The following is a 14,854-nucleotide window of genomic DNA, read 5'->3' on the forward strand; positions in this document are numbered from 1 at the left end:
ACCTGGAATAAATGTATTAATAGATAAAAAGTGCTGAATCCAGGAGAAGTTCACAGCCTAGAGAAAAAGCAGGTGAATAAACATTTACACAATTATAATACTATATATTAAATGTATTAAGAATATATACCAAAGTTTTAACAGTGATTGTCTCTGAGTGAGTGAGGTTATGACTGGTCCTTATTCTTTTTCATCTCCTTATTTTTGATATTTATGCAAATATATTTATAATAGAATTTTTTAATATATATATAGAGAAAATTTATATAGAGAGAGCCAAGGAAAACATAACAGCACTAAGGGATTAGCAGAAATACTGCAGCCTAAGTAGGCGATGGCTTCAATTAGCATGCTGTTGTGACTTTCTCTAGCAAATGTTCCATAGCTTTGGATTGGGAAATTCAACTTTTGAAATGCTCTATAATCTAACCCGCCTTTAAATCCTTCTCTGGGACTTCAGTATAATCGAGGTTGCTGGAATGGCACAAAGCCAGTAAGATCGGCTTGTGCTTGAATCCTATGGATCTCCTTATGTGCCCCTGGATTAATTAGATTGAATCTAAAATGATGGACAAATGCCACTGGGGAAAGAATGACGGGGCACGTCAATGAATAACTACTAATAAAGTGCAGAGAGACCCAGCGCTGTGACTCACAACTGTAATCCCTATACTTTGGGAGGTGGAGGCTGGAGGATGGCTTGAAGCCAGGCATTTGAGGCTACAGTGAGCCATGATTGGGCCACTGCCCTCCAGCCTGGGGAACAGAGCGAGATTCCGTCTGTATAAAAATAAAACACAAATAAATAAAAATAAAGGATCAGGGATATGTTCTCTTTAAATGAAGTACGGAGGAAAGTTGATGGATATTTTGCCTGAGTATATGATACAGAGAAAATATCACTCCATAAAGAAACATTTAAAATAAACTGAATAGCCAGATAGTATTGTCCACTCGAATGAGAAATTGTTATTACAAAATGCCATAGATTCAGATATTTTAGCATCCTTATCCTTTATTCTTTGATATACACACAAATAAGTCACCTTCTAAAGGGTATACAGAATGGCACCTTATAACTTCCTATGAAGATAAAGCTATCAGCCCAGTGGAAGTATTCCAAAATTAGATGCATCTTACAATTAATGGTGTCTTAGATTTGATGAAATAAGGTGTTTCTCCCTGGCTCCAAGTGTAGACTTAGGCGGTGCAGTTGTACACCTAGTGCAGCACCAGGGATTCCAGAAAACCAGATGTAGTTTATTGAAGATGACCCCAGAAACAGAATACATTCTTATGGAATAGAGAATAACATCCACTAATGAATTCTATATTTCAGTGTGGCAATATACTGTTAAGTTATTTTACGTTTGACACCTTTGAGCGAATGTGAGTGGTATTCCCAGTGGGGCACCCTTTCCTCTTGGGAGTGGGGGAAGGGCACTGCAGGGGGAGCTCTTTTTTCACTAACAATGGCGCTCTTGTTGATGGCACCAAATGCTGCAGCAGTTTTAATACCTTAGTTAAAATCTGGTAGTTGTTTTTTCCTTTTGATACAAGAAGAAACTCCTGCTAGAGCTAATGTGAGTCATATACCATAAACATTCAGTGCTCAAATCCCTGTGGGCTTTGAATGCCAAATAACACTGTATACTTACATTTTTAAAAACTGCATCGTAGAATGCTAGAAAACACATGTTAAGCTCTCTAGTATTAAGGAACACTGTGGTATTTTTTTAAAAAAATACGTACTATAAAGTAAACCATTCATAAATTCCAGTGTAATGCCAGTTATGTTAAAATCTTGACTAAGTCATTTAATTCTCATGCATAATCCTGTTTCATTGTTTTAACCCAATAATCAAAAAAGAAAAAAAAAGATTGAGGGAAAATATATTCGAAAGTACGTGCATACACACAAATATTCACATGTGTTTACATAACCACCTACTTAACAGACCTGGCCTCATTAAAAACACTGAGATTTCCAGTAAATCAAAATTGTCTCCAAAATATGTAAGGTTACATGAGACTCATGAAGATGTTAATGTGTATTTCAATCATCCATTAATTCAGAAAAACAATAATTTTGTACCTAAATTCTCAGTTGGCATACCATAATCTCTAGAATAATAAAGTTTCAATTCAATTATAATTAGCAGGTTGCAGATAATTCATTCTAAATGAAAATAACATTAACACTGGGCAACTTGACAGTAAAAATCAGAAGAATATATTTATGGTAATTTTCTTTGGTTAATATATGCAAATTTTGAGAGAAATTCTTTTCTCCCTCTTCAAGCATTAAAGCAAGAGGAGCCTTTTTAGTAGAATCCATTACAAAAAAATAAAATTCATAAAATAAAGCAAGGCCAAAGGGAGGAAGCATTTTACATACCTTACTGTTTGCAAAATCACACAACATCAGCAATAAGTTCAGTATATGTCTATATACTTTGGGAAGTAGTTTTTGCATTGCTCAGCACCCTGTATTGCTCTGTTTCTACAGAGAACACTCTAAGAGAACTTTACTGAGCTAAAATTATTGTGAAACACAAAGCTTATGTATATTCTTCATTGTTTCTGACACCCTAAAAATGAATACTGCCAAAAACGTACTAAGTTCTAAGGACAGATTGGAGCAAACAATCGTTAGCATGCTTCGGACTCAACTCTTAGAAAAACTCTTTGATCACACTGCCCCACTCCGGTCAAAGACAGAAAATTGGGTTAGCCCTTGAAAAGAGTGTTAGTAACATCACATACAAATTCATGTAAAATGCATTTCATTAAAAGACAGTGTTTTCCAAGAGGGCAAAGTATTCAAATATTTTATAATTTACTTTAAAATTTCAAGTAAATGTATCTTTTGCCCCTTAAATTAACAATGTACAAGGAAATGCTATTATTAATACTATTTCCATAAAAATATCTATTACAATTCTTGCAAAAATATAACAAAATATTACATTGATATATAATGCCATTTGCTATATACAAACGTAAATTTTAAAAGACCGGATTATTAAGGTGAACTAACACGAATAGTTTATATTCATATAATATTCATATTTACATTAGTTCAGTGTTTCACATGTGAATGGGAATATAAACTATTCATATTAGTTCAGATGGAAAAATTCAGCATGTGCTGTGAATAAGAAACACAGCACTGTAATTTTTGTAATTATTTTGTTTAAGATAAAAACAGAATATGGTTAAAGTTGCTGAACCTTAGTTGCCAAAACAGCCACAGTGATGTTGAAAAGCAAGTCTAAGAAATTTATAAATTCCTAGCCATAGTAATTGTTTACTCCGAAGTCATTTGTCTGGACATAGTGTTTGAAAATAGTAAAAATAGTAACAAAGTTAACATATTGACCATTTATTGTGTCAGACACTGGTCTAAGCTCTTTACAAGTAATAATTCATTCATACTCATAACAAACTATAATTTAGGCTCTGTTATTATCTCCATATCACAGATAAGTAGGGAAATAGAAAGAATTAGTAACTTGTTCAAGGTCACATGGCATAAGTAAATGGTAGTTTTGGATTCAAATCTAGGCAGTCTGACACCAGCACCATGCCTCTTCCACTATGCTATATATACAGAGGAAATAAAGAACCATTTATCTTCTTCTTCTTCTCAATGTATCTAACTATTATACTCTGAAAGAAATGTGATGCTTTGTCCATACTTCGATTATCAAGATCAAATCAATAAAGTGTATGTTAATAAGGTGTGTATCACCCTAATATAAATAATAATAAAGTTAATACAAGCAAATCTTATGTGATATATCTGTATCTTTACAGGTGTATGTGTTTCTGTGTGGATGCAAATGAAAGAAGTATTACAAATTTGAGATAACTAGCAACTGTTCATTTTTTCTGAGCCATAACTATTATAAATTACGTCAATTATAATCTTCAATTTCTTTTAAGCATTAAATACCCAGTTTCTGTATTTCTAAATTACCTGAATCTCTGTCCAGAGCTTCAACCCTGGTAACAAACTCCCCTGGATTTTGGTTTTCTTTCACTGAGGCTTCATACAGGTGCTGCTTAAATACTGGAGCTTCATCATTTACATCAAGAACAGTAACTGTCAAAGTCTGGGATGAAGAAAGTGCTGGTGTGCCATCATCCAGTGCCAGAACAGTCAGAATATGCTGAGTTTTCATTTCATAATCCAAAGGACAGGTTGTGGTTAGTAAGCCTGTTTTGAAAATGGAAGAAAAGCAACATGTAATGAATATTCTTTAGAGAAGTCATGCTTACTCCACTTATATCTAACTTGTCTACCTAATAAAAATTCAGAAGTCTTAACTGCTAAAATATGAACTGCATTAAATCATCTTTAAATGTATACACTATCTACAATTAAAAGCAAACATTTTTAGTCAGAAAAGTCATCTCAATTTAAATTATATCAAACAAAACAATTCAAGAATAATCAATGTTATGCAATTATCTACTGAGAGGATTACATTAAAATTCTCTAGCCAACATCTACCTCCCTTTTAAAAAATATCTAGGATACTAACAATATATATCATCTTCATGTCACATAACACCTCATGTATAAAAGCGACCAAGTTACAAAAATGTGGGTATGGCTATATTCTTTAAGACGGTTGATTTTTGTTAAAGAATTATGCTCTCTTAATATTTATTCTCAGTTAACTGGATTTTTTTTAACAATAAAGAGCAGGCCAGGTGTAGTGGCTCAGGCTGGGTGTGGCGGCTTACACTTGTAATCCCAGCACTTTGGGAGGCCAAGGCAGGAGGATCACTTGAGGTTAGGTGTTCAAGACCAGCCTGGCCAACATGGTGAAACTCCATCTCCTCTAAAAACACAAAAAACTAGCCAGGCATGGTGGCGGGTGCCTGTAATCTCAGCTGCTCGGGAGGCTGAGGCAGGAGAATCACTGGAACCTGGGAGGCGGAAGCTGTAGTGAGCTGAGATCGTGCCACTGCACTCTAGCCTGGGCAACAGAGCAAGACTCCATCTCAATAAAAAAGAAAAAAAAGCAAAGATGTTATAACTCAGACAATACACTTCACAAGTAAAATGTGTCTCTATCCCACTGCCATTTAAGCATATAAACCACATAAGTCAGATGTAATACATACTGGCACACAGATAGCCATTATATGATTCCAATTATCACATTTTTCTTTTAGGATTGCTGTTTGCTTCTCCCTTTTATAAGAATTTTTCTTGAAATAATGAAAGAAGTTTACGGAATTCTATTTTATAAAATAATTTTTCAATAATTACTCATCACTTTATATTTCACAGCCATAGCCACAAAAAACTCACTGTCTTCTTTATAAGAAATATGAGTTTTGTGAGAGAAAAAAATCCCATCTCATATGAATGCATTTGGCAATTATCATTTTATGTCTTTGAAAAACATCTCCATTGAAACAGTCACTGCAATTACTCAAGAGATTCACATTACCTATATTACCAAAACACAAGTTTAATTTTATCCATTCTTTTTAACAATCTGAAATATACCTTTCTTAGCCATCTTGGAACACATTCCAAGTATTACTGAAACAGGTCCTTGGAGAGCCTCAGCTCTAACAGATATCAGCAGCCTGTGTCTGGACTATTTCTCTGTCAGTTGGGCATTTAGGTGGTGTCCATGCATGCCTCAGAATGAAACCACATGTACAAGATTTAATAAATATTTTGATGAAATTTTCCAACGGAATATAGCCAGACTATAATCATGACTTCCAAATCCTCCACATTTAACTCCATTCCAAATAATGCTTTTAACTAACAGTTGGGCCAAATGGTGTATATCTGAGATTTTTTTCATTCATGTAGAAATAACTTTATTTTTTAGTGAATAAGATGAGAGTTTATTAATTTTTCAATATTCCCTGAAAATCAGGTAGGAGGTTCATTTTTAAAGTCATAAGACTGAAAATTTGTACATTTACTCTTCCATCAAACTACATAAAAAACATATAATAGATGTTATCTAGCAACATGGTGACAGCAAGACAAGTAAAGTTGAGGGTGAGTGACATTTCTGCAGAGTACCTGACAGTGAATAAATGCTTCTTCAAAAAAAGAAATGTTACAATTGATGTGAAAAGCAGGGGTCTTAATGTCCAAATGAATTCAGCCATTAAAAATATATATTATTTCCAATATTTACGAATACATGTTTGTATAATCTCAAAGATAAATTTCCATACTAAAGTCTTTGAACAATGCTGTTGATTTGTCATACTGCTACCTGATTCACTATTGGTACCATATCCTACCCTGCAAGGACTCACAATGGGGGCAAAGAAGTTTTCTGTTGTGTATTCAGCCCATAGTGTCAGCTAGCTACAGAGCATAGTTAATATTAACAAACAGGACCATTAAAGTTAGTTCTCCAAATACAAACCCTGTGTCTATTTTATATATATATGCATACGTATATATACGTTATATAAGTATATACATATATACATATATAAGTTAAACAACAGAAGAAGTCAAAAATATTTAAAGCATATGTATCTTAAGAACCATCATTTTAAGAGAAAAAAAAGAAAAAGTTAAATATAAGCAAGCGATGAGAGGGTTTAATTGAAAGTGGCAGGAAGAGAAATGAAAGTCATCCAAATCAGAAAGAAAGAAGTAAAATTATCCCTGTTTGTAGATTACATGATCTTATATATAGAAAATCCTAAAGACTCCACCAAAAAACTGTTAGAACAAATAAATTCAGAAAAGGCAGGATACAAAAATCAGTTGCATTTCTATACACTAACAAGGAACTGTCTGAAAAGGAAATTAGAAAAACAATTCCATTGACAATAGCACAAAAAGGAATAAAAGAAAACAGGGATAAAGCTAGCTGAGGAGGTGAGTACCCTACATATTGAAAGCCACAAAACAATGATGAAAGAAATTAAAGAAGATACAAATGGAAAGACATGTATGTTCATAGAGTGAAAGGTCTAATATTATTAAAATGTTCATACTACCCAAACTGATCTACAGATTCAATGCAATCTCTACCAAAATCTCAGTGGCATTTGTTGTAGAAATAGAAAAAAATAATATCGCAATTCAAATGGAATCTCAAAGAACCCCAAAGAGTGAAAATAATCTTGAGAAAGAACAAAGCTGGAGGCATCACACTTCCTGGCTTTGATATATTACAAAGCTACCATAATCAAAACAGTATGGTATTGGCATAGGATAAACATTTAGGCCAATGGAACAGAGTAAAGAGCCCAGAAATAAATCCACCCATATATGGTCAATTGATCTTCAACAAGGTTTCCAATACTACACTTTCGAAAAAGGCTAATCTCTTCAACAAATGATGTGGGGAAACCAGATATCCACATGCAAAAGAATGAAGTTGTATCTTTATCTTACACTATACAAAAATAAAACAAAATAAAATGGATTAAAGACTTAAATGTAATACCTGAAACTATAAAGGTCCTACAAGGAAACACAGAGGGGAAAGCTTTGTGAAGTGGGTCTTGGCAATTATTTCATGGGTAGACAACAAAAACACAGATTACAAATCAAAAATAAACAGGCGGATTACATAAAATTAAGAAGCTTCTGCACAGCAAAGAAAAAGGCAACCTATAGAATGGGAGAAAGTATTTGTAAATCATCTATCTGATGAGGGGTTAATATCCAGAATATATATAAAAAAACTCCTACAACTAAACATAAAAAAACCCTAATTTTAAAATGGACAAAAGACTTGAATAGAAACATCTCCAAAAAAGACATACAAATGGCTAACAGGTATATGAAAAAATGCTCCATGGCACTAATTATTTGAGAAATGCAAATCAAAACCACAACGAGATATTGCTTATACCTGTTAGGATGGCTGTTACTAAAAAAAAAAAAAAAAAAAAAAAAGACAACAAGTATTGGTGAGGGCGTAGAGAAATTGGAACCCTTGTATACTGTTGGTGGGAATTCAAAATGTTACAGCCACTATGGAAAATAGTATGGATGTTCCTCAAAACATAAAACTATAACTACCATATGGCCCAGCAACTCCACTTTTGGATATTTATACAAAAGAATTGAAATCAGGATCTTGAAGAGAGAGTAACACACCCATGTTTACTGCAGCACCATCCACAATAGCTAAGATGTGGCAACAACCTAAAAATGTTAATCGGCAGATGAATGGATAAAGAAAATGTGGTATGTGCATACCATTGAAGACAATTCAGCCTTAAAAGAGAAAGACATTCTACAAGATGTGACAGTATGGATAAATCTTGAGGACATTTTGCTAGGTAAAATAAGCCAGTCACAAAAAGACAAAACTCCATTATTCCATTTACATGAAGTATCTAAAATAGTCTAATTCATGGAATCAAAGAGTGCAGTGGTGATTGTCAGAGGCTGGATGGAAGGGAAAATGGGAGAAACTAAAGTTTCAGTTAAGCAAGGTAAATAATATCTAGAGATACGCTGTGCAACATTGAACTCACAGTCAACAACAATGTATTGTACACTTAAAACTTTGTTAGGAGGGTGGGTCTCATGTTTTCTTACCACAATAAAATAAAATATTTTTAAAAGTGACATATAGGGCACTGTACCTGATGACTCATCTAGCATAAACGTCATGTTTTCATTTCCTGAGAGGATGCTGTATGTTACTTTTCCATTCCTTCCTTCGTCTGGATCGTGAGCAGTTATGTGGTGGACCAAGGAGCCCACTGTGACATCCTCTTTGACATGGGCATTGGGGAAAGAAATAAAAGTGGGGTTGTGGTCATTTACATCCAAAATCACTATTTGTGCTGTCAGTGATCTCAGTCGCCGGTCTGTCACATTCACAGCCTGATCAGATGCTGTTACTGTCAGGATGACAGTTGGAATGCTTTCTCTGTCAAGACGGGACACAGTGACTAGTGTGCCAAATGAGGGGTGGATGAGAAATGGATTCGTGCCAGGGTTGTGGGATTCAATGTAGTATTGTATTCTACTGTTCAAAAAACTGCCGTCATCATCTTTGGCATTGAAGACATACACCAGGGTTCCTATGGGAACATTCTCCTCTACACTGATCACAATGAGCTCATCCTGGAAAGATGGGGAATGGTCATTCTGATCTTCCACATCGATACTAAGGAAGACTGTGCTACTCAGGGAAAGGTTTTTGCTATGGTCTGTAGTAATCACTCTGAAAAGATAATGAGATGTCGTCTCATAATCAAGTTCCTTAGAAAGAAACAAGTCTCCGGTTGAGCTGTCTATTTCAAAGTGTCCATCCTTATCATCTGCAACAATACTAAAATGTAACTTTCCATTATAATGTTGTTGAAGGTGATCAGATGACTTTATCAAGCTCATTATTTTTGTGGGCTTCAAATTTTCTGGTATAATTAAATGTCTAATATTCTGAGACATGATTGCTCTCCCTTTGGATAGTGGGATCACCTGAAATACGAATAAAAGAGATATTAATTTGGGGTATTTTTAAAACAGTTTAATGAATAAATGTAATAATATTATTTTGAAAGCAAATTCCTTCCATGTATGTGATCATATGTTAATTAGTGAGAAAAATGTCATTTTTATATTATATAATTCCAGTATGTCTCAGAAGATCAAAAACTGCATAATATTTAGGAGATAACAGCTACAGAATTTTCTATTTCCCAGTTTGCTGTATTGTGTGAAACAACAGTTTGGTAAAGCCATGTTATAGTTAAGCTGAACTGTAGCCTTGTGATTCTTCAATGGGAATGCAGGGTAGCTAGTTCTCCAGATTATTTTAAATACTACAGACTGATCTATCCATAATGACAACATCTGTGTACATTTAAGTATCATATGTCTTTGTTTGTCTGAAACAAGAAACTGGAGGTATGACCATACAGATTTTTCTCTTAACCCACATACCCTTAAGCAGTAAAGAATATAATTTGGAAACAGAGTTCTTGTGGATATATATCCTTGGTTATTGTATATACCTGTATTAATATTTCTGATTATCACATGCACACACAAAGAAACTATGCACAGTCATCTTTCTTTGAGTGGTTGGTGTAATTTTTTTCTTACTATGGAGACTTCTCACAACTTGTTTGCCCATTATGATTAAAGTAAAGCCTTAAAATATGAATCTGGAGTTACTTTTCTAAATTAAAAAAATTACAAAAATCTATGTCATTTATTATATGGCCATTTGTTTACATACAAGTGTCTCCTGCAAATTTACCAGAGCCTTGACATTAGAAATAAGCACAAGAAAAGATACCTTTTGTCCATTATAAACAAAGCAACATAAATGCCAATATAGTGATGATTATCTTGTCAAGAACTGTACAAAGCTAATTTGCAAAATAATTTGGGTCTAAATCATTTTTCTAGTGATAGCAAAAAGCTAAGTATGCTATGTGCAATGCTCTCAAAATAGTATTCATGTAACATACATACATATTCATATACATACATATTACATGTATCTTCACTCTATAAACTTGTAATGAAAGTCAAATGAAATCTTTAGATGTCCTTCCATATTTTATGGTGACAACATTACCTGAATATTAACAACTGCCTGTCCTTGAAGAGGAGGCACTCCCTGGTCAGTGGCAATGACACTCATTCTGTAGGAAGGTCTATAATCATACGAAAGTATTGTGGTTGTTCTTATTTCACCATTGTTGGCGTCAATCTTAAAGTGATCAGAACTATCTTCTACACACACAAGAAAATTAAGAAATGAATGTTAATTGACAATGCAGAAAACAGAAAATCAATTAATCCAATATATCGATCATTTGGAAGATTTGTTTGCTTTGAATTCTATGAGAGTATGAACACAAAAATGACACTAAAAATAGACAAGAAACATCACTTTTTAAAAATTTTTATTATGGAAAATGCATACAAAAAAGTGGACAAAATGGTATAATAAACTTTCACGAGTCCATCACCTAGCTTCAACAATGATCAGCTCATGGCCAATCTTATTTCATCTATTCCCCATGTATATACTTCGCTTCTCCCATTTTTTTTGAAGTAAGTTCCAGAAGTCATATTATTTCTTCTGTATATATTTCAAAATGCATCTTTAAAAAATAAATATTTTAACACAATCATCACAGTACCATATTATACCTTAAAAATTAATAATGGTTCACAGTATCACCAAATATTCAGTAAGTTTTCAAATTTTCAACCATCCCATAAATACTCTTTATTTTTCTTGTTTACATTAAGATCAAAATAAAGTCCATATATTGCATATTTCTTTAATCTATGGATTCCTGCCACCCATCTCTCTATTTGTCCTTGCAATTTATTTGTTGAATAAACTGGAACTTGTATCCTGACATTTTCCATGATCTAGATTTGCTGTTGCATCTCCAACGTGTAGCATAATATGTTCCTCTATTCTTATGTTTTCCTTAAATTGGGAGGCAGATCTAGAGAACTGACCAGATTCAGGTCAGGATTTTGTTTGTTTGTTTGTTTGTTTGTTTTTTGCACGACTGCTTCCCAAATGCTGTTTTTCCCTTCAGAGGCATAGGTCTAGCTGCCAAAAAAAAAAAAAAAGATGAAGTCTCTTTCTGTTACCCAGGCTGGAGCGCAATTGTGCCATGATAGCTCACTGCAGCCTGGAGTTCAGGGTCGCAAGCTATCCTCACACCTTGGCCTCCCAGATAGCTGGGACTACAGGCATGGGCCAAAAGCTAGTTATTTTTGATGTTGGCCCCCCACTGATGCACAGCCTAGATCCATTAATTATTCTTTAAGTTTTGTGAAGTATAATGCAAGTTGACATCCCAAATCCAAAAAATATGAGATCCAAAATATTCCAAAATCCAAAACTTTTTGAGTACTGACATGATGCTACAACAAGAAAAACTCTACGCCTGATTCATCTGATGGATTGCAGTCAAAACACAGTCAAAACTTTGTTTCATGCACAAAGTTATAAAAAATATTGTATAAAATTACCTTCAGGCTATGCATATAGATGTATATAAAAAATGAATTTCATGTTTAGACTTGGGTCTCATCCCCAAGATATCTCAATATGTATATGCAAATATCCCTCCCCCCAAAAAAAACCCACCAAAAAAAAAAATCCAAAAGCTGAAACACTTCTGGTCCCAAGCATTTTAGATTAAGGATACTCAATATGCACTGCATTCTGGTTTATCATCCCTTTTTCATGTATTAGCTGGAATATTTCAATAAATAGAAACTTTCAGAGGAGTTCATTATAAGAAAGGCAGGATAAATGCTCGATGAGTTAAACTTTTATTTAACAGTTTTTGAAATAATGGGTTGGTTCACTAACATCCACCAATGTTCCAACTATGATAAGTAAAATTTTGTCTTGCTTTTGTTTTGGAAATCGTTAAGCATGATTTAAACATATTAGTTGTATTTCAATATATTGCCATTTTTATCCTTATTGATGCTCAAACTGTCCCATCACCAAACATTGGGATCTTCTTAAAGTTGGTTCCCGGGTCTCTTTCCATGATCCTAATAGTGTTTAGTAGCCTCCTTGTAACTGGTATGACAAAATGGTGCAGACTCATCTTGTAGATTTCCTGACCATGACCTGACATCATCATTTCTCCAAGGACTCCTGGTTCCTTTGGTGGAAAATGGTTTTGGGAGAACATATTTGGGACATTAGAGGTGCTCATCGTTTCTGGGTTTGTCATCACTTCTAGGCCTTTTCAGTGCACGGAGAATACACATGCACACATCTATACATTCATATTGATGCTTATAATTTAGATTGGTATCATAAGGTTTTGAGTTAAATAACAGATTTGTATTCTTCAATAAAATCTGAACATTTCAAACAGTTCAAACCTCAGACAAGTCTTGAGTAGAAGCTCCCCTCCATTCTTTAGTTCAACAGTTGCTGAGTCATTACTATGGACCAAATACCTTATCAGTTTTTAGGGACATAAAAGCAAATAAAAAAGAACCCCTGTCTTCAAGAAACTCATAGCATGGAGCAGGCAATTATGTAACATTTATTAGTTGTGATTTCTATGCTTTAATCCATTGATTTTGTTCTCACAGAAATACTATAGAATGCATTCATGAATATGATACATACCTTTATTCCCCTTATACCAATTTTCATCTCATTATTTTACCATATATTTTGTAGTTGCTTCTATTTTACTATCAGATAAAAAATAAAGATGGGAATAATGTAATATATATCTCCATATTTTTGTATTGACATGCCTCAATTATCATTTAAAAGCTAATTTATAAAAAAAGAATATTTCGATGAACACCAAAGTATCACTTCTTAGACTGATTAATTTTCAATATTTTTTCAATTTTTTCCAAGAAATGGCAGAGTATGAATAAAGGAGTGGATCTGTATATAGCTCCAAATCTCATTCCCCTCCTTTTTCCCCGTAGAAAGTCACTTTTATAACTGAAGTTGAGGTTTATCTTTGAAGTCCATACATCCATAAATAACATATGCCATGGCTTTGCTTGCTTTTAAATAGTGGTATTATAGCAGGATTATAGCCGTGTGTGTGTGTGTGTGTGTGTGTGTGTGTGTGTGTGTGTGTGTATTTTCCCTCTTCACAATCATTGTCCTTCACAGGTACACTATGTTGTCTTCTCCACCCCAAAATAAGACAGGAAAAAAAGATATAAAGATCTTATTGACCTAACTGACCTCATAGCCAGAGAAAGATTCTTGAATGCATACCTGCAAAGCCAGTTTTTCTCCCACCCAAGGACCAGATTAAAATAAGCTAAGACAACAAAAAGAGAAATTTGAGAAGTAACAAAAGGGAAGACAAAAAAAGAGGGGGAGAATGGGGAAAGAGTCTCTGAAGGAGGGGACAGCAGGAACACAGAGGAAGGGCTGTCTCCAAATGTGGATCTGCTGCAGGCTCACTACCTCTGTATAATCCACCATTCAAGTGTCCTGAGAACTTGGGAAGACATTTATAGGTAAATAAGTTCGGATGGTTTATATGGGCATAGAAACATCAGAGAAGAATTTGGCTCCCTGACCATGGAGGTATTGAGAAGAACTGCATATGTAACTTTTCCAAGGAAAAGCAATGCAATGAACTCAAAGCTGCTGTTTGCGTCAAATTCTTTTTATCTTCTGTAAAATCCTTGCCTTCCTTGCTTAACTTTGGATTCAATATTTATCCACACTGCCATGTATGAAATTCTATTGTATTCATTTTCATTGCTGTATAGTATTCCGTGAATATACCATATTATGCAGACAACTGAAACAATGCTTCAATGAATATCCTGTTACAGTCTCACTCTGCACATATAGAGTTCCTCTAGGGTAACAGAAGTAGAACTGCAAGGGTATAGCATAAGCACATCTCCAGTCTTATCAGATATTGCTTCATTGTTCTTCGAAGTCGTCACAACAAGGAGTCTGGGCATGCTTTAAAAACCTTTTTAATTATTCAGGCTTCTTTTCTTTGAGTTGTCTGTTAACATTCTTTGTCCAATTTTATTATTTATTTACTGGTTTTTCTTACTGGTTTGCAGGAGTTCTTAATAAATTCTGAATACTAATTTTGTATTGGTTACTGGACTATAATTATCTTTTCCCAACTTGTGACTTGAATAGTCACATTGTAAACAATGGCATATTTTGTAGTGTTTTCAATTTTCATTTAGTTTTATTTATCTATTTCTTTGTGAGCTTCTGCATTTCTTCTTGTTTAAACCGTCTTCTTTATTCTCAATGCCATATATATAACCAGTCTCATATTTTCTTTTGTAAGAGTTAAAGATTTCTACATTTAATAAGACTCATCTTTGATATGCTGAGAGTAGAGATATTTTTCC

General features: G+C 34.0%; 1 protein-coding gene across 2 annotated transcripts in view; it reads right to left on the reverse strand.

Annotated features, from left to right (window-relative positions):
- The window catches only part of DCHS2 (dachsous cadherin-related 2), a 260,058-nt gene that overhangs the window by 80,024 nt on the left and 165,180 nt on the right, over positions 1–14,854 (reverse strand). Inside the window, exons 8-10 of one of the 2 annotated variants that reach the window (NM_001358235.2) lie at positions 10,566–10,723; positions 8,614–9,457; positions 3,983–4,222 (exon numbers count right to left, since the gene is read on the reverse strand). In NM_001358235.2, the coding sequence (NP_001345164.1) occupies positions 3,983–4,222; positions 8,614–9,457; positions 10,566–10,723 (1,242 nt within the window). Of the gene's footprint in view, positions 1–3,982; positions 4,223–8,613; positions 9,458–10,565; positions 10,724–10,879; positions 11,565–14,854 lie in introns of those variants that run through there. The other variant, NM_001142552.2, reaches the window with a different exon arrangement.

The sequence above is a fragment of the Homo sapiens genome, chromosome 4, assembly GCF_000001405.40.
Source record: "Homo sapiens chromosome 4, GRCh38.p14 Primary Assembly".
Taxonomy (NCBI): domain Eukaryota; kingdom Metazoa; phylum Chordata; class Mammalia; order Primates; family Hominidae; genus Homo; species Homo sapiens.